Below are 20,743 nucleotides of genomic sequence, written 5' to 3' on the forward strand. Positions count from 1 at the left end.
ATCATAATTCTAAAAGATTATATTAGGGAAATATCAATGCTTCTTAAATTGTTAAAATAATCTAATTGATAATTTCACCCAAAGGAATCCATATAGAACATTAAATTTCACATAGACATCAGTGTATCACAGAATCCCCAGTTTTGTTCTAAGCTATTTTTTCTAAATCAGTGAAATGATCATGAAGAACAAAAGTTCAGCTCTTTAAATTATATTATCCTTATATAGTTAAGATGAACTTATACTAACTTACATGGTATAGAGAAAGCATGTCTGATGTACAATTTTAAAATGTCCTTTTATTATAACTTAGCTAAGGACAACCATTCAACTCTCATATATTATTAGATATATTAATAATGAATGTAATAAGAATTTAATCTCAAAGAAGCTGTGAACATTTTAAACAGGAAGGGGAACATCACACACCGGGGCCTGTTGTGGGGTGGGGGGAGGGGGGAGGGATAGCATTTGGAGATATACCTAATGTTAAATGACGAGTTACTGGGTGCAGCACACCAACATGGCACATGTATACATATGTAGCTAACCTGCAAGTTGTGCACATGTACCCTAAAACTTAAAGTATAATAAAAAAACAGAAAGAAATAGTGCACATATCTTTCACTTTTTAATTTCAAAATCTCGTGATGCATGAGGATTTATTTTTTTGTCTAGAACCTCTGAAACCATGCTTTTGAGTCACCGAGGGGGATGAATATTTCACCTATGTGTTGCAACCAGGGTCTTTCTGTCTGATGCTCACAGCCATGTCTGATGAGCAAATTAGTAGTTTATTCCTTAAGACTTTGTTGTTAGGTCAAGAGTTTTATTTCCCATCCCCTATCTTTGCCCCCATGAGTTCCATGAGGCATTATTAGAAATAAAAACATACTGGAAGGAAAACGACTCACCGAAAATGAGCTAGTCTTGGTTATTAAGGCATTAAAGAAAATATATACTGTTTCATAGTTCTACAGTTTGGCAGTTGTGGTCTGTTTATTGCCCTCATCAGAGAGATGACTCATCACTTAATTAATAATTACATTTACTAATCACTTAATGTGTAATTACACAAATACATGTAAAGCAGAATTGTTGTTTGTAAGTAATTATCATTAAATATTATTTATAACGATTAGAATAAGGAATTCCTCTACCACAGAATTAAAACAAGAACTGAATATCTTGACTTGATAGCATTGTAAAAGCCTTAATTTAAAAGATGCCACTTTGTTCTTTTTCATAACAATACTTATTATATTTTATGGCTGTTGTTATACTCTGATTCCTATGTATTGTTCCCTTGAGTCATAGTTTTCTGTTAATATGCTGTGTCTTAGGTGGTAGACATTACATTTAGTGTAATCGAACCTCATCTTCCTACAAACATGTAATTTGTCGTATGATATTTCTATTCTGATCCCTGCAAGCTGCTAAGTATGGGGATTTTATAGTGTCTGCAAGAGATATCAGTCTAGGTTGCTTGTCAAGCAAGGGTTTGTTTTTACAGCAGGCTAGATTAAATAGAAATTGACTTTAGTCCCTTTTTGCATGGCTACTATAGGGATAATAAAACAAATGAGAATTAGATAGGTTTTAATGTTGTAGATAAGAAGACTACAGAATGGGAAATTTATTGTCTATCAGCAGAAAGGAATAGTGACTTATAAAAATAATAAGAGAATTAAGCCTGGCAATTGGTATCCTCACTAAACTCATGGAAATACCTCATCCTGGCATTTTCATCCAGTGATTTACTTAACTTTGAATTAAGTCTTCTCCAAAATAACACATTTTTACAATCTATTGCATTGCAATGCCTCTGATCTTGCAACTATAATTCTTGATTTCATTCAAAATTTAAGGATTATTCAGTCAATAATTAGACAATCAATAGTATTTTTGTCTTGCTGACATTTTTGTGAAAAGACATACTAATCTCTCACTTTTTTAGATATTAAAGAAATAACTTAATTTTAAAATAACTTTATTCATGTTAAAAACCAATGGATTAAATAAAAATATTTCCTTGCCTCCATTGTGTGATTAAATACATTAGAGAAACTCTCTATAAACAAGTCAGTTGTTAGAGCTGGAAGGCTATTTCATATAAAAATATGTATACTCTTCTATTCTGTAGTATTGACTTACTTCAGAAGTATTGACTGGCTTTATTATTGTTTATCTTTACAGCTGTAGATTGTATTAATTTATTTGTAATCTGTTTTGCCATCTGATTGTTTTGACTAGAAGTCTGTTTTGACATAGAATAGAGTTTTCAGTAATCCCAATCTGAATTCTTTTCAACAACCCAAAAATAGCTAATTATTCTTTCTGAATAATTAGAAAATTACCCCTTACATGGGGATGACTATCTCTACTCATGATGTATTTTTATGAATGGACACTGAAACTACAGGCTTAGAACATTATTCACTTACTTAGAACTACATGTATAATAGAAATCATTTTGTCTTATCTTTAATATAAATTTCTTGTTGTCACACAGATGTCTACTTCTTGGAAGTGTAAAATTTGGTTAAGTAATAGACACATTTATCAAATACTAATCATGCACACCCTATTAGAAGGGCATTTTGTTGGGTATATAGTGACAGACAATACTACTAGCCTCTTGGATTTTTATAGTTCTATAGTTATCAATAAATGAATGAATGAATAGTTAAATTAATCAAACAATGGAAATATAATGTTATAAAAGATGAGAAATAAAAAAAGTGGAGAGAAAAGTAATGCTCTGTTTTACTGGAGCACATAAACATTTTTAACAAATGCTGTGAAGTTACTGTTTTCTTGTGACTTTTGCAAAACATTGTTTTTTTCACTCAAGAATCTTTGCTCACCCAATTATCTTATGGTAAAAATTAAATTTGTATACTTTATTTCTATCACCAATATGTCATGATTTTCTAAAATTCTTCAACATGTATATGAAGTTTTGAGTTTCCAAATGGAATCTTTGAGTTACACTCCAGTCATTTTTTAATTTGCTCAAATGCAATGGATGAAAATGTCTGTGTAACCATTTCATTTGTATAATCTTTATGTCAATCTCCAAACCTCTCAGAGACAAGATTTGTTGTGGTTTTATTGTTGTTTTATCCTAGCTCATAATAGCTGTCAATTAGAAAGAAACTTCCTCCAAGCAAGTTTTCTGATGAGTGAGCAATCATGAAATTTTAATCAATCCTTAAATGTAGTCACTGTTTATAAACTGAGATGGCATAAGTTACCTCCATAATATTTCTTTACACGGTAATGATTACACACCTCTTCAGTTTTTCTTTCTCTAGGCCTGAGTGGACGGCTGTCAAATGTAGGTTGCTTCTGATCAGATATAAAGATGAATCATGAAAGTTAGAATCCATAACTTCTCAGGGAAGATGAGGAATCTACTGATACTTATGAAATAAATAACTCACTCACATTCACATATATTTTTATAAGTTCAGAGGGGAGAAAAGGCATCAAAATAATAAATTTCAAGAAAACAAATCATACTCTATTCCGCTCTATGATTTACCGGGTACTTTTAAGTCATTTCCTCCGTTTCTCAGTTTCTAATAAAAAGAGGCATAAAAAATTAGTAAATTAAGAAAGTATTAGAGATGTTAGATCTGGAAGGAATGTATGAAAGATCAGTATAAGTTAAAGAAGCATAGATTTTTCTATACCTGTTTGTATGGGAGAAGCAAGACTATGACCTAGTGTTTTTTGTGCTCTATTGAGAAATAGAAATTGTTGTTTTATTGGTACTTGAATAAAGTAAATAACTATATGAGAAGTTGGTGACTAATGTTAGTGGTTAGGACAAACATCCACTAACAATGGTTTAGTGAAAGGAACTGAATAATACTGGGATGAATATCTACTAGTAGATTTTTAAGAATCTGCCTTAAGAAGAAAACTACCTTAAAATGGAGGAGGGTGGAGCAAAGAAAGAGGAAACACCTGAGTCTATTTTGTTTCAAGGATCATCAACATGTTCATTATGAACAAAGAAAGAAATATTTAACAAATTTTCTCAACTTTAACTGCAAATTTCAGCAGTACAACAACAGAGACATCTGTGGATTGGGAAACACTAAGCCTTGTGATAAAATAAAAACTTCAGCCGAATTACATTTAAAGGAGTTTAATTGAGCAATGAACGATTTGCAAATTGGGCAGGCCCAGAATCACAGCAGATTCACAGAGACTCCAGCGCAGCCACGTGGTGGAAGAAGATTTATAGACAAAAAAATAAAGAATGATGTATAGAAGTTGGAAGTGAGGTACAGAATGGCTGGATTGGTTACAGCTAAGTGTATGCCTTATTTGAACACAGTCTATAAACACTCAGCAGTGTATGAATGTTTGAAATATGGCAGCTGGGATTTGCCAAGACTTAGCTATTGTTACAGGTGCATACTTCCAAGTCAGGTTTTGAATTTTGTCTGTCTATTAACCAGGTTCATCCTCAAGAACTCAAATATAGAAGTATAGAGTTCTTCTTGGGCCATATTTAGTTTGCTTGAACAATTCCCCCTTTTTGGTCATTTTATCAATTTTGAAAGATTGACCAAAACCTTAGTCATTGACATTACTATCACCATCGTAAATGTACCTATATGGTCTTGAAACCCACTGGGAAACAGTTAAACAGTGGGTTTTGTAAGGAGGGAACAAGGACTGAGTAGAGGGTACCTCTTTATGCTGGAATGTTCTGTTTACATGAGAAAAACCAAACCTGGTCTGTTCTAGGATCTATGGGTTTCCTTAAAGTCTTAGTTTGATTGTCACATTTAGCACAAGTGACTCCATTTTGTTTGGTTTAGCCTGTTGGGGCCCAGTGCATGAGCTTAGTCCAAAACAATTGCCTCCCATAATTTTGTTTAAAAAATTCCTCCTTTTTGGCCAGGTTCTCACTTAGGTGAGAGAATGACCAAAACTTAAGGCCCTAGCACCACTTTCAATTACCATGATTTTGGGTTTCCTGTCTCACTGTGTCATTCATAGGTTACAGTGTCCTCATGGTCACAAATTTCTTTCACCTTTTCTCATTCCATTTGAAGAGAGACCATTGACAATCTAGAGATGGCTGCATGCAAACATTTACAACCTTTGAGAGAATACAGTGCACCAGGGAGACTATTATGATGATTATTAGGAGGATAATAAGAATTTGGAGTATGCTCCTTACCCATACACAGAGTCCCTGTAAACCAAATTATCTAATATTAAATAGATTACAAAATGAGCTAGATGAAGAGTCTACTTGCTTGACTAAGTAGTCTTTTCATTAATCCCCTACAACTAAATTTTCATAATCTACATTTGATGTATTTCTCCATAGGCCACAAGTGCCAGCAGCTGCACAGGTACTTTTTAGCTAATTCTATTATTTAGCATAACTGTCACAGGAGAATTTAAAGTTGGTTGTGTAACCATAGCCTTTACAGTAGAGTCTGCCATAGAGCCCATTACAAGGGATACATTTCTAATTATTGCCTCTTTTATTCTAAATCATGGAAAAATGATGTAACAAATGGTATCCTCCTAGAACAGTGAAGGCCTCCTGGCAATGTTTTCTTTAACCCGTGATGTGTGTTAAGAGGAGTGAACCAATGTTCTGTTTCTGACTGATTATGAGACAACATATGAACCATTAAAGTTTTTCACCTACATTGGGCCGCCTACTCTTATCTATCAAAGTATAAGGTTATCCATGTATAAGGCTGGCTGAAAACTTCACAAATAAAAGTATACCCCATAAGTGTATATAACAGACCCCCTTTCTACTTCTATTGTTCATAGAGCCATAAGCAATATTCAAAGATAAGACTCTCGTGATAGTAGAAAAGTCTTGATCCACGGTATTGGGAAAAGCTGTTCACATCAAGGATGCCTTCTTCTTCTGGGGAGAGACTTCCCTGGTTAGTTTTACCTTAAGGGTTTCCATGGGTGTACAGTTCCAAGATTGTGGAGGAACCCTTCCCAGTTTTAAGATTATGAACCCAAAGTTCAAGCTTCCAAAGTTTTGCTGCAATGTGGATGGCAAAGACAGTCTTTCTCTGATGTTCTCAGAAGATCTAATCTTCAGGTTCTAGACTGCGAAGGGGTTATCCTCAATGAACCATAGAAAGCTTTCTTTACCTGGTGAAAATCCATAATAATCTACTGTTACAATATCAGCTCTTTTGCATGGAAAGCTTTTGTACTTCCGGAAAACATACATTGAAAATGACAATTGAGTGAATTTTTAAATAAATGTTTAAATGGCCCATCAGGTAGCCAAATGTACATGAAAAATTTGATTGTCTTGCCAGGAATATGGAACCAAACATTGGTTTTAAACTATCTCCACAATGTATAAGTCACCAAATTAATATATTCAATTTGGATTATTTTATCATTTTCATGATGAGTCATGGAATGCAGAACCTTTAATAACAAAAGCTTTAAGGACTCAGGAATGACAAGAGCAGACTTTCTGGTTCTCCATGAGTCCATGCTTAATATTGATTGGACTTATGTCCTTCTTGAATACCAGATGTTTCTCCAATGTAGGTGCTTTAGCACTGTTAACTGATGGGTTATCACAGGTAATTTGACTTAGACCATGGAGTTCATTTAAATTGTATATCTAAAAGATTTTAGTATTGACTGACTTGGCATGGTAATCTGGCATACTTGGGTTAGCAGTTTTATAAACCAGTCAGTCTTTTTATTAGAGTTTCAGGAATTTTTACCCAGTCCAACTCTTGGGGAATTGGGGAATTCATGGGAAATTTTTACTCATTACATGATTTTAAAGTTATTAGAAAATTGTATTCAAGAGTGTTTTTCAGGGTCCTTTCCACCCTTTCACGAACCTTTTAAAAGAAAACATATTCTAGGATTTTCCATGCTTGCGAAGTTTTCAGAAACTGCATTAGCATTAAGCAATTAACTGTGGAGATGACTTTAAATACTTATAGTTAAAAACACAATTAACAAGGAAATTTGGTTATTTCTGTGGGCTACAATAAAGTAACATAATAACCTTAATTATGTTTGATCTCATATACTGAAACATATTAGAATTTTAGAAATCCCACACAATTTTGGAACATATATTAATATCATTCACTAAAATATAACCTGAAGATTAAACATTATTTTTATTTTTACAGTACTTCCCATGATTTTTAAACCAAATAAGTCAAATTTCACTGATCCATTAGAGCGTTATTGATGTTAAGCCCAATTTTAATAAAACCTTATAGACAAATGTATATGATCTTAATCAGTTTGATCATAAGGTAAGAATTTTATAAACCTTTTATAACGCTTTACAATTTTTGTTAAAGAGTAGATTAGGGCTCTAAGAAAAGCTGTTGTGCTTTTATTTTGATGTTCAATTTACAGAAAAACCAAATAATACCACTTGTTACAATGTTAACTTTTAGCGACTTTTACTTTTGGTGAAAACCTTGGCAAGTTTGGGATTTTAATTATGTACTAGGTGTGGAGCCTAGTGAGAGGAGAGAAAGACCCTCTCACATTGTTTTATATTGTTTCATATTCAGTAGAAACAACAAGGAAGTAAAATCAAAGACAGGCAGCCCAGTGCCAGGCCCGAAACCAGGCCTAGGCCCGCCTGGCCTAAACCCAGTAGTTAAAAATCAACTTATGATTTAGAAGCCGATGTTATTCATAGATTCCTTACATTGCATAGAAGAACATTGTGAAACTCCCTGCCCTGTTCTGTTCCTCCCCAACCACCGGTGCATGCAGCCCCTGTCACGTACCCCTTGCTTGCTCAAATCAATCATGACCCTTTCATGTGAAATCTTTAGTGTTGTGAGCCCTTAAAAGGGACAGAAATTGTGCACTCGGGGAGCTCGGATTTTGAGACAGCAGCTGGCCGATGCTCCCAGCTGAATAAAGCCCTTCCTTCTACAACTCGGTGTCTGACAGGTTTTGTCTGTGGCTTGTCCTGCTACACTAGGACCCAGACAGAAATGCAGATAAGGTCTGACTCTTTCTAATATCTCACTCCATGTGTCTCAGGCCTTACCTAACTGTAAAGCAGGGAAGTTGTACAGGGAGCATGGCTAATTCCACATGTCCCCAGGCCTTATCTAATGCTCCAAAATAAATTAAACAATTTTTAAAAGTCAAAGCAGTTTATGACCTTAAAGCATTTAGGAAACCTAATATCTGACCTACATAATTTAGACCAAATGTTTTATTTTTGCCAATAATCTTTAAAGCTGTTTTTATTATCCAAAGATTACTAAAGTTACATGAACTAAAAGGCATTACAGTTTTACTTTTTCTTTCTAAACATTTGACTTAAGTGCTTATTTTTGTTTAAGTCAATTAATCAGAGCTCTTTTATGTAACTACACAGACAGACAGATAGAAGATTACTATAGTAGTTGTGTTACAGGGGAGTCCTTGTTCCCAGAGCTCCCAAGATGGTGGCGGCAGCTTCCAAAATGGTGGCGGGCTGCTTCCAAGATGGTGGCAAGCCTCGTGTTCTCTGACCTGGGGTTCTTGGCCTCACAGATTCCAAGGAATGGAATTTTGGGCCATGCAGTGAGTGTTATAGCTCTATTAGAAGCCATGGGTCATGAAACAGAACCATGGAACCCAGTGACTAGTGTTCAGCTTGATTAGGATGAACCTGGGCACTTAGCCATGCAGAGACAATGGCAAGCCTTTAGCCTGATTGGGAGTGGCAATGGAGGCCTCACTAGGTCAGGAGCACAGCAGACACCCTGCCGGATCCGGAGGGATGGAAGTCAGCAGCGGGTCTGTGATGGCGGCAAACAGCAGTGGTGGATGACAAGGGAAAGGAAAGCTCAGCTGGAGCTGTAACAAACACAGACCAGAAGAGAGTGCAGTTGCAAGATTTAATAGAGTGAAAACAGAGCTCCCATACAAAGGGAGGGGACCCAAAGAGGGTAGCCATTGCCAGCTCGAATGCCTGGGTTTATATCCTGATCATTGTCCCTCTCACTATGCTCTCAGGCAATAGATGATTGGCTATTTCTTTACCTCCTGTTTTTGCCTACTTAGCTTTTTAGTGAGCTCTCTTTACTACCTGAATGTTGGGTGTGAGCTAAATTGCAAGCCCCGGGTTTAAAGGTGGATGCAGTCACCTTCCCAGCTAGACTTAGGGATTCTTAGTCGGCCTAGGAAATCCAGCTAGTCCTGTCTCTCAGTTGTAAGATTTTTCATTTGCCAGTTTTTAAGTTTCTTAATTGGTTATTGGCTTTAGGGTGGAGTCCTTAGAAGAACAGGGCCAGAAAAGGGTCTCTGGTGCCTCCTGTTTTTCCCAATAAGTCCAGGCTGTTAGAGCTTGAATATCCACTTTTAATTCAGCTGACTTTTAACTACAGCGCTTTTTAATAAAGTCCTTTTAAAATTTCTTATTTCCTGACTTTAGCCAAGCCAAATGGCCAATATTTCTGACTTTTGAACTTTACCAAAGGTAACCTCCCAGGTGCTCAGCAAAAGGAAAACTTAGTCTTTGGAGGAGAAGAGAATAGACAAGGACACACAGATATTAAACCAGAAAGAACTTATTTACTAAGCTGGGAATCAAACCTGGACCAACACTGCAAAATGGCAAAACATTAACTACTGAGCTACAGCACAAGAAAATCTCCAGTGCTCTTCCAAGAAGTCTAGAGTAGTTAATTTTGAGCTTGCAAAGGCTTTTAACTAGTGAAGATAATTTTTAGAGCTAACTATGACATGAAACCTAAATTTCTGTTCCCTGGAAGGCAGAGACCAAGAGAAAGTTGTGCCACATGGTTACAAGATCAAGCTCCCAAGGACATAAAACAAGATGAAGACCTCATCCAGGTTTTTGTTTGTTTCAGGGACCTGCAACAAAGTTTGTTACTGATCAGCTTGCTGGGCCATCTTGAGCAGTGAGCTTATGTGCGCCTGACCCCATGTTTTATCCTAAGGTACCCTTGACACAGAAAAACAAATTCATAGCACAAAATACACCAGATTGACTACAGCTTACCGCCAGCCTCAGAATTCTTTTTGCATTAATTAAAACTTTACAGAGGAGATAAACAGTGATTTTTACCATTCATGCAACCAATTTGCACACCAAGAGAGAAATTAGAAATCTGACTGGTAAGAAATTCTTACCCTTTTGCCAACATGCCAGCCTTCTGGGTTCCCTTTTCCTGAGTGGCCCTAGTGACTTGACTTGCTGCACCATCACCCTGGGGGTCAAGCTTCAACACAAATTTTTTTTTAAATTGCACTTCAGTGTGTTGTTGTTCGTTTAGAACATTATACTGTAAGTTATCTTTAGTAAGATTTCACCATTTCTGTAAGACTTTGCTGCCTCCTGGGCCTAATGTATAAGCAAGAAGGAACTCAGTTTTTCAGAAATTAAGGATCCCATTTTTACCTAAAATATGGGCTTTACTCTTAGGTTCTCTTGATTAACTTAGCCAATGATTTTTTTTCTTACCTAGGAGTGCAAGAAAAATAAAACAAAGGGGTAGAACACAAAAATCCCTGTGAATTTTTAAAAGACAAATTGTAAAACCACTGCAATATTACTGCTTACCACCAGTTCCTTTCTGACCCAGTCAGATGTAAGAGGCCTCTTACTGTTTCCAAACCAGTAAATTCCCAGATCAATTTCATTCCTGGACCCAGCCCAGTTTCTGTCATGACTTCCAAACCCAATTTGGATCAGAAACTCAGAGAGCTCAAAACACAACTCTGTGGAGCTCCGAAATCCAAGAGGGAGCTTACCCAAAATCCCCAGCCACTCTGAGAAGTCAGTGTACACAAGTGGGTCCCGCAGGTACCTTGCATGTTCACTTAGCACTCCTGGAGGTCACTAGAAGCTTCACTTCGGATCCCACTTCTGACACCATCTGATAAAAGAAAAACTTCAGCCGAATTAAATTTAAAGGCATTTAATTGAGTAATGAATGATTTGCAAGTTGGGCAGCCTCTAAAATCACAGCAAATTCACAGAGAATCCAGCACATCCATGTAGTGGAAGAAGATTTATAGAAAAAAATAGTTCATGACGTACAGAAATTGGAATTGAGGTACAGTACAGCTGAATTGGTTACAGCTTGGCGTGTGCCTTATTTGAACACAGTCTGAACACGCAGCCGTGTAGGAATGGTTGAAGTATGGTCACTGGGATTGGCCAAGACTCGGCTATTGTTACAGGTGTATACTACTAAGTTAGCTTTTGAATTTTGTCTGTCTAATAAGTTAGGTTACAGTTCATCCACAAGGACTCAAATATAGAAGGATGGAGTCCTTCTCAGGCCATATTTAGTTTGCTTTAACACTTGTATTATCTATCTACTGATACTGAGTGGTGATTGTTATGGCAAAAAACCCATGATCATTTGCAGGAATCCAGACCTTGTTTTAGTTCTGGTTCTTTATTTAGCTCTGATTCTACCAGCTGTGTTAACATGAGGAAACTAACTTTTCTAATGCTCTGTGAACGCATTATAACAATTGTAGATAACTACTCACTTCATGGCTGTTTTAAGCTTAGTGAAATAATGTGTTATACTATTTAGCACAATATTGAGTAATTTTATCATTTTTAAGTAAAATATTAATTCTCAGTATTATTGAGTATTGATCATTACTATTTAAACTCTTTAAACATCTGAATTAAAATGTATGTATATAAGTTACTTTGTTCATAGTGGTCATAAAAAATGGTATGTTACATTAATAGAAGTTGAGGTAATATTTGCCTCATGGCTTAATATGAGTTAAAGAATTTTTTTTCATTGTATTTCCACATTTTGACTATACTGTATCTGGGTATGATTCTCTTTGCATTTGTTCTATTTGGAGTTTATTAAACTTGTTGGGTGAATAGGTTAATGTTTTTCAGCGAAATTGGGAAGTTTTCAGCCATTATATTTCAAATATTATTCTGCTTTTTTCCTTTCCTTGATCTGAAACTACTATTATGTATTTATTCATGAACTTAATGGTAGCCCACCTTTCTCTGAGTGTTAGTTTATTGCTCTTCTTTCTTATTTTTCTCTGTTTTTTAGATTGCACAATCTATATTGATTTATTTAAAAGGTCAGTAATTTTTTACTCTTTCAGCTCAAGTCTGCTGGGATCCTCTAGTAAACTTTTCATTTTGGTTGTTGTACCTTTCAACTCCAGAATTTTCTTTCATTTTTTTTTCTTTATAATTTGTGTCTCTCTATTAACATTCTTTGTTTGAGTCATAATCCTCATAAGTTTCTGTATTTTTAAGCACTTTTAAATTTCTTTGAACATATTCACAATAGCTCTTTTGAAGTCTTTGCCTGCTAAGACTGTCATGTGGGCTCCCTAAAGGCAATTTCTGTTTACCTGCTTTATTTCAGGTACATGAATCACAATTTCTTGCTTTTTTGCATGGTTTTTACTTATTGTTGAAAACTAGATATTATAAATAACAAAGTGTAGCAACTCTGGAAACTGATTTTCACCCCCTCCCTAGTCTTGTTGTTTGCTTGTTTATTTGCATCCTAACTTGTTTGACTATTTCAGTGACAGACTCCTCTTCAGATGCTTAAGTGTGAGCATAAGTAGAGTTCTCCCTCTCCCTCATCCCATGGGAATTAGAGTGGATTTCAATGAGTTATATTTGACTGTCCTTTCCTGATTTTCTTGCTGTGTTTCTAGCTGGTCTGTCTTTATGGTATTATGCCTAGATATTAGACTCTACTAATTGTTTGCTACTATTGCTTTCAAGCATGCTCTGAGCATACATTTGGAATCTTTTGCAATGGTATCATATGAAACCAGTATTTGAGGGTTATTCTGACCTTGGGAGAGCTCTCTTTAGCTGTTTATTTTCTGGTTTCTGTGTTAAACTTTCTACTGATCCACTATTTTATTTGTTGCACCATTTAGCTATCATTCTTCTCTTAATTGCTCATGATCAAAATCTCATTGTTTTCCAATGTGCCTTTCAGGTTGAATTCTCCTATAATCTCTTTTAAATAAATTTATTTACCTTAGTACATACTTTGGAGTTTTGTATATATAGTCAGAGTTCTAGGAAAGAGTAGTAATTTCTACTATTTGCAGTCTCCCTCTCTCGGCATGGAATATCCACCCTGTGACTGAGGTAGTGTGAGAATATTTGAGGCCCAGTATTCTTAGGCTGCCAAGCCTGAGTTACAACTCCTAGCCTATAATTGGGGGCTGAGTAGACTAAGGAAGTTTCTGACCACTTGCCTAGAATAGATCGTCTACAACATAGAGCTGAGGGGATGAGAAATGTTGGAAGGTTTTTTATCCTGACATAGCCTTAGGTTAGGAGCTGGGAAAGAAGAAGCCCCATGTTCTTGGCTGAATCAATTTAGATTAGAACTTTCATCATGGTGAACATGGAGAGGGTGAATGAGTCTAGCTGAAATACCATGTACCTTTGCTGTTCTTACTGAGATTTAGTAGATTTTCTTAAATAAATGTTTATTCATTTTCTGTATGCCCTTATGACAATTTTTAGCAGTTTCAAATGAGCATTTTTGTAATTTTCACTGGTTATGGTAGTTTTACTAGGGAAAGGGTCCATGAACATCCTCACTCCGCCATTTCAGAAGTGACATCCCTAGAATAAACTTTCTCGAAAAGATGTAAATGCTAGTTATCTGTTATTAAGTCATGTTTTAAAAGCAGAGGGACATTTCAGGTCCTGTAGGAAAGACAGAGAGGAGCTCTAGCTACTGAAGCAGAAAGATACCAAAGACTCTGGAGAAAGTCTGTGAAACTGAGTCAAAGCTGAGTGATCCCATAAAATGGAACACAAGATTCTAACAAAGAATCCAGCAGGGTACTTTTATGTTCAGGGCTCTCAGTTCTTCAAAGAAGGATTGGAGAGGTTTAAAGCAATGTTTAGTAACACAGGCTTGAGTAAATGGCACTGGAAAGTTCTATTTCCTAACAGAGAAGGACTAAACACATGTTGCCACCACTAAGACTATATCATTTTGGCAGTAATGTATCTTTAAAAAAAATCTTCTGGCTTTCTGCAAAGAGTAAATCATTACCTACCTTTTTCTGTAAGAGGTAATGTCTTACACTGTTAAAATGACACCTACAGTAAGGAACAGAAAATTGATGTTAAATGCATTCCTATTATGTTAAATAGAAAACATTAGAAATTCTTTTTCTGACATTTTTTATAGTAGGAAAAAGTGTAGCTAAATACACAAACTATTTCTTTCCATTACTGATAAAAATGTGGTCTGTATTATATATTTTTCTATTGTAAATCTAGAATTAGTTGTAATTGGTGTAACTTAGTCATTTACTCTTATTTCTTTTCAGATGTAAAGCCTCTGTTAATACTTTTCCTGTTAACAACCTAACTATTCAACTGCTGAATAAAAACCATTAGGACAACTAAAGAAACTGAGAGATTTTGGCAAGAAATAGTCATTCCAATATCAATGACTACGGAGGAAATGCAATTACTTTTCTTTGCTTAAGTTTTCCAGGTTTGTGTTCTTAAGTATGAGCCACAGCATTTATAACAACCCCAGAATGTACCATTTTTATACAAGAATTAAATAATAGCCCAAATTAAGTATTTGGCTCTTAGGAATTTGAGAACTTTTGCAAAATGATATCTTTCATAAAAAATAAATGTTGTAAAACTATATATATTTAATAAACCCATTGCAGTAACCAGCAAAAATAAATTTAGCTTTCTGAAATGCGTAATTGCATACTGAATGTTTCTCTAGATACTCTCTGAAACTTGGAAACTAAGTTTAAAAACATAAACTGTCTTTCTTTAAATAAATGCCATTTGAAAGTAATACTAAATGTTTACATCATGTTTATAGTTTTGAAGAAATAATTCCTAGAAATAAGATTGTATTACCAAGCATTATAAATCTAATACATTTTCATTTCCCCATTTGGGAGCTTAGTATGCTTTCTGAGAGTCTTTGTCATTTCCTGTCAATCGTTCCATCTGGATCATTGAGTAGAATCCTCTCATATTCCCTTGTATGTGTATGCAGACTCTATGGTGTTGTTTTCTGTATCATTGTCACCTATACTTTCATTAACTTTATTTTGAATAAGCAATAGTGAAAGAATAGCAATAATAATAATAACAACAAAACAAAACAAACAGGGAGCTAGAAGCTCCTATTTTTGTCTCAAAATTAGTGGTTCACATATTTAAAGCCAATTTGACTACAAGCTCTCTGTAACTTTTTAAATGAAAACATATTAGTGAAATACTATAAGCTCTTTGTAACTTTTTAAATGCAAACATAGTAGTGAAATACTGTTACCATACATTAAAGTGCAAAGCATTTTGTAAGTTTTTAATTTTTTTGCAAACACACATCTCCATAATCACAACCCAGAACAACATGCCAAGTTTTTGGCATTTGAAGCTTCCTGTTTTCCTCCATCCAACATGGCTTTTTATTTTTTATTCTAGTCTAGTGTTGTTTTCATAGCAATTTACCATATTTACTTCTCTAAATGTATACCTTAATTCCATTATATTTCTCTATTTCTACGCTCTCGCTGGCTTTCTCCTCTTTTCCCTTCTATCTTTTCTTTTTTCCCTCCCTCTCCTTCCCTCCCTCCCCCCTCCTCTTTTCTTTTCCTTTGCTTTCTTTTCTCTTCCTTTACTTTCTTTTCATTTATTTTTTTTCTTCCTTCCTTTCTTCCTTCTTTTTCTTTCTTTCTTTCTTTTTCTTTCTTTCTTGCTTTCTTTCTTTTTTTTCTTTTTTTCTTTCCTTTCTTTCTTTTTCTTTCTTTCTTTCCTTCCTTTCTTTCTTTTTCCTATATTTCTTTGAATTCTACTTATCTACCTGTCAAGTCTTTCAAATCTCTCTATTATGTCACTGTCTTTTTAAGGTCCTTCTTATTCCCTCTTCCACTTTTGTAACTCATTTTTTCTCTAGCAAACCTATTTTTGTCTCAAAATTAGTAGTTCATATGTTTAAAGCCAATTTGACTATAAGCTCTCTGTAACTTTTTAAATGCAAACATAGTAGTGAAATACTATTACCATACATTAAAGGGCAAAGTTCTTCATAATTTTTTCAGTTTTTGCAAATACACGTCTCAGAACAACATGTCAAGTAATGCCAACATTTTAAATCCTTCCTTTGGCCTCATTCTAGTTAATATAAATGCCAAAAGAAACACTGTAATTCTTTGTGAAATTTTAATCACAGATTTATTTTATAGATACTATTCAGATTTTTCTATATTTTTTCTTTAAGTTTTAGTGTTTTACAAAGAAGCTAATAATTTCATTAGAATGTTAAAATTATATATGTTAAATTTTTTGTCATTTTTCAATCCATATAAGGTATATGTGATATGCTTTTTTTCACTGCTAGTGCTAATTCGTATTTAAAAAAAACTTAGAGATTTTTACATCATTTTTATTAATCTTTTCAAATTTGCCATCTAATGTTTACTGTGTCTGAATATTTTCTTTCCAAGAAACTTTGTCTGGAAGGCTTTCTGTGTTATAAGCAGAGACTTATATTCTTTTACAATGGGTTAAATGACATTTTCACAAAGAAAACACAATGATATAATCAGCACCCAGATCAAGAAATAGAATATGACCTGCTTCCTAGAAGACTCCCTTATGCATTCTCTTAGTCGTTACCGTTTTACCCCCTCCCTTGGCAGTTTCCTCATTTTTAACACTGAAGATCATGTTAGTTTTTTGTTTTCATTTGTTTGTTTGCTTTACTTTTCCATAAATGCATATATACAGCATTATCTCTTAAAATGCTTTTTTATTCAAACATTACAGTTAGATTAATCTAAATTATTCAAATATGGCTAATATTTGTTCATTCTCATTTTTACATACTATTATTAGTCACATTTTGTACAGCTCTAGAACACTCTCAGTATTAATCCAATTAGAATGTATATTTTGAAAAAAAGTAATATTTGCCAGTCTAGGTCTTACTTTCTGTTGTAATGTACACATTCAAGGCGACAATACTTCTAAGAAATATTCAGGACATTAACACAATCTTAGTGCTTGATAGTCATTGAGCCTTTTTGGTTCCCTGCCTGGTACCCAAGCATCTGAGAAGTGACAAGTCAGCCCACTGTATAGTGGAAGGCTGATGGAGTGGAATGCCCTAAATATGTTTGTCTTGATGAACTGTCACAAGAAAAAGGAATGGAAAAAGACAGTGAGTAAATTAATTAAAATAAAGATGAGTAAATAATTTAAATAAAGAATGAATGTGATGCTGCCTTGTATAAAAAAATGTAATAGTGGAATTCTAAAGGGACTATTCTATTGCTTTTACCTAAGGAAAGGTTGTCCATAGACAAAAAGGTTTCAGAATTACTTTTCTTTAGAAAATACTGGCAGCTGCATCAAAAATGTCAACTTCACGAGTGACACTGTCACTTCATGATTTGCTTCTTAGTAGGACTAGGCTTCAGAGTGAGGCAATTTGTGTTATTGAACAACAAAACTCCCAAACAAGGGGGATATCAAGAAGTGGTTTTAGGAGGGTAATGAGCAAATCTTTGGGGGAAAAAGTATAACTGTGCTACTCTTCCAAGCATTATGAGTTTTACTTTTATTACAGAAAATAAAATTTAGTTTAAATATATTATTTGAAAGCCTACCATATGTCAGAAACAAATATGTGTTACTTTACTCTGCTAATGTGAGTATTATTTATAACATCTTGGCAGAAAAACTTATTTATTTACTCTTTGGTTATGCTTACAATATAAAATTAGATGTTAATATACTATCCTAATACTGTTGTATAAATGCTTTTAAAAATCACAAGATATAAAACAAGGCAAGGCAATTAAAATTACAAGTAAGAATAATATTGTATCACAGATCTTAAAAGGGATCTACCAGTGTGTTACTAGGTATTTGAAACAATACTAAATACAAAATTTAGTGTTTCTTTTGCTCTAGATAATGTTTTCATTGTGTATGGTGTTTTTACACATGTGCTTTATAAAAACTACAAGTTGTTGCGTTATTTACAATGTATATTCAGTTATTTTTTGAGGTATCATTTGTGGAGGCATTCTCTACATTTGATAATACCCATATTCTTGGCCCTGATTTCTTGAACACTCCTTTCTTTCTATAATGTTGAAGGTATATGTATCAATTTTTGGAAGAGTCTTGTTTAATGATAGGTAACAAAAATAAACTGGAAAACAATAACTGTTCCCACATAGGTGTTGACATCATGAATTCAATTTCTAACATGTGACATATAACATAGAAAGCTGAGAAATTGCTTTCAAATAAATTTTTTCTTTGATGTGTGTACATATGTAGTTGCTTGTGTATCAGTTTTTTTTTCATCCATTTATCAGGATTCTTAGATATTAAACTTCAGTTGTATCTCCGTTCCATCAATCAGAAAATTTATTGGCAATTTTTGTGAAATTTTCTGCTATTACCAGTGACAGTTTTTTTTTTTTTTTACTACCCTTAGGGAATTTTACCAATTACTCCCTTTCTAATGGAGGCAATTTTGAAATCACTAGAATCTTTGAAACGAAACAGTTGGCAGTTTCAGGCAACAGTAGATTTGAAGTGTGGTTGTTGGGAGGTTTTCAGAGATGCTATAAATGCCTGGGGCATTGGTCTCAGAGAATAAACAAGATCACAGCTGGGTTCTGAACAGCTGAAGTGAATAATAACGGACTTCTAGGCCTCTGTGATGTCTGTTACCATTCCTATCTTAAGTCTTAGCATTAACATACATGATTTTATTTTTCTTACAGTAATTATTCTATAGTAGAGTAGCTCTACCAACAAATAACGGAACTGTTTTGAATTGTAAAAGGATGAGAAATGGATACTTTCAAAGACACCACCAACTTTAGAACCACATTATCTGTGTGTGTGTGAGTGTGTGTGTGTGTATGTGTGTGTGTGTGTTGGAGAGATTGGAAGGAAACCAAGCAAATATACTTCCACAACATTGTTGCAAATTTTAATCATGCATTAGGTAGAATTTTTATTTATGATCTAGTATGTGGGTCACTTTTTGAATGTTACATGTGTAATAGGAAAAAATGTGTATTCTGCAGCTTGTTAATTTTTTTTTTTTTTTGACAGGGCCTTTCTCTGTTGCCCAGGCTGGAGTGCAGTGAGGCAATCTTGGCTCACCACAATCTCTCCCTCCTGGATTCAAGCAATTCTCCTGCCTCAGCCTCCCGAGTAGCTGGGATTACAGGCATGCACCACTACACCCGGATAATTTTTGTATTTTTAGTAGAGATGGGGTTTTACCATGTTGGCCAGGCTGGTCTTGAACTCCTGACCTCGTGATCAGCCTGCCTCGGCCTCCTAAAGTGCTGGGATTACATGCATGAGCCACTGTGCCCTGCCAACTTGTTAAATTTTTAATCATTCTGCTCACCTTTTGCAACCTTACTGACTTTTGTGTCTACCTTATCTAGCAGTGGCTGAAATTTCCTTCTATGATTATAGATTTGTCTGTTATTTCTTATAGATTTCTCAATATTGCTTGTATTATTATTTTAAGTTAATACCATTAGGCATAAAAATTCAAAATTGTTATCGCTTACTGAATAAATAAATCTTAATCTATTATCAAGTAATTCTTTTTCTTTAGAAATCGTTTCTGACTGTAAGTTTGCTTTGTTTGAACTTTTGTAGCTACTACATACATATACATATATATGCAGTAGCTACAAAATGTTTTAACTACACTTAAAGTTTTACATTTTTAAAATTAATTATTTTATTTTATTTTGAGTTGACACATAATTGTACATATTTATGGAATACCGAGTGATACTAATCAAAAGAAAGCTGTTTTTTTTTTCTGCTATTAATATCAAAGTTTTGGGATTGTTAATGAGATAACTTAATGTATTAATAGGATATCTTTCTTTCTCATTTGACTTTCAATTCGATATGGATTTACCATGGGGAATCCTAGCTTCTATGATACCTGCAGAGACAGGAGAGAGGAATCTTTATTCTCTACCTTCTGCCAGAAGTATGGAGTACTGGCCCTGCCTGGGGGTCATCCTTCACACTATGATGATGATATTGGGGTTCCCAGCTAGCTGAGGGCCACTACTGACAGGCACCTATTGTCTGGGTGCCCCGTGACAACCTGCCCTTGGTGGGCCTTATTGAACCTTGGGACCCTAAGTTTGACTACAGTGAGAAAGATCTGAATGAGACTCTGGTGAGTCGCTTCTGGGGAACCAGTAAAACCTAGGTTTTAAAACAACTTTTCTCCCTAAGAATTGGCTAAGTGAGGTTAGAGAGAGAAAGAAGACCAGGATATTATCAAACGGCTGAAAATCTCAAAGAGCTTAGCCCCTGGAAAGAAGCACACCTATGCTAGAAAAGGCAGATGTGGCATTAACTATTAACACTTGTGAAACTGAAATATTTTATTTTTGAAACTGTTAATAATCACAACCACCATGATAGAGTATAATGCATAAAATTGTTTTTCTATAATCTGTAATATAATGAAAATCAGTCACAATATGCAATAGTGTTATGGGATCTTTGGGATGTCCATTTTCTGGCTGGAAACTTCTGTGGCTCATGGCACCTTTGCCTGAGTTTTTGTCCTGCATCCGGGAAGAATGAGGTATACAAACAAGTGAAGTGTGAGCAAGAGGAAGATGAGCTTTATTAAGTGTTAGAACAGCTCAGAGGAGACCAGCACTG

General features: G+C 34.7%; 1 long non-coding RNA gene across 1 annotated transcript in view, besides 1 other annotated feature; it reads left to right on the forward strand.

The window, feature by feature from the left end:
• The window catches only part of LOC100506664 (uncharacterized), a 28,907-nt gene extending 9,260 nt beyond the window's left edge, over nucleotides 1-19,647 (forward strand). Inside the window, exons 2-3 of the long non-coding RNA XR_927932.2 lie at nucleotides 14,353-14,522; nucleotides 19,142-19,647. This is a non-coding gene — a long non-coding RNA (uncharacterized LOC100506664). The remainder of the gene's footprint in view (nucleotides 1-14,352; nucleotides 14,523-19,141) is intronic.
• Nucleotides 19,231-19,462: a silencer, noted in NCBI's record as "fragment chr7:125106413-125106644 (GRCh37/hg19 assembly coordinates)". NCBI's record gives its function as "represses an EF-1alpha promoter that drives an FKBP-Casp9 reporter gene in an ReSE screen in K562 erythroleukemia cells {active_cell/tissue: K562}" and the evidence as "EXISTENCE:reporter gene assay evidence [ECO:0000049][PMID:32094911]".
• Nucleotides 19,648-20,743: the final 1,096 nt, after the last annotated feature.

This window comes from Homo sapiens, chromosome 7, assembly GCF_000001405.40.
Source record: "Homo sapiens chromosome 7, GRCh38.p14 Primary Assembly".
NCBI classification, from domain to species: Eukaryota; Metazoa; Chordata; class Mammalia; order Primates; family Hominidae; genus Homo; species Homo sapiens.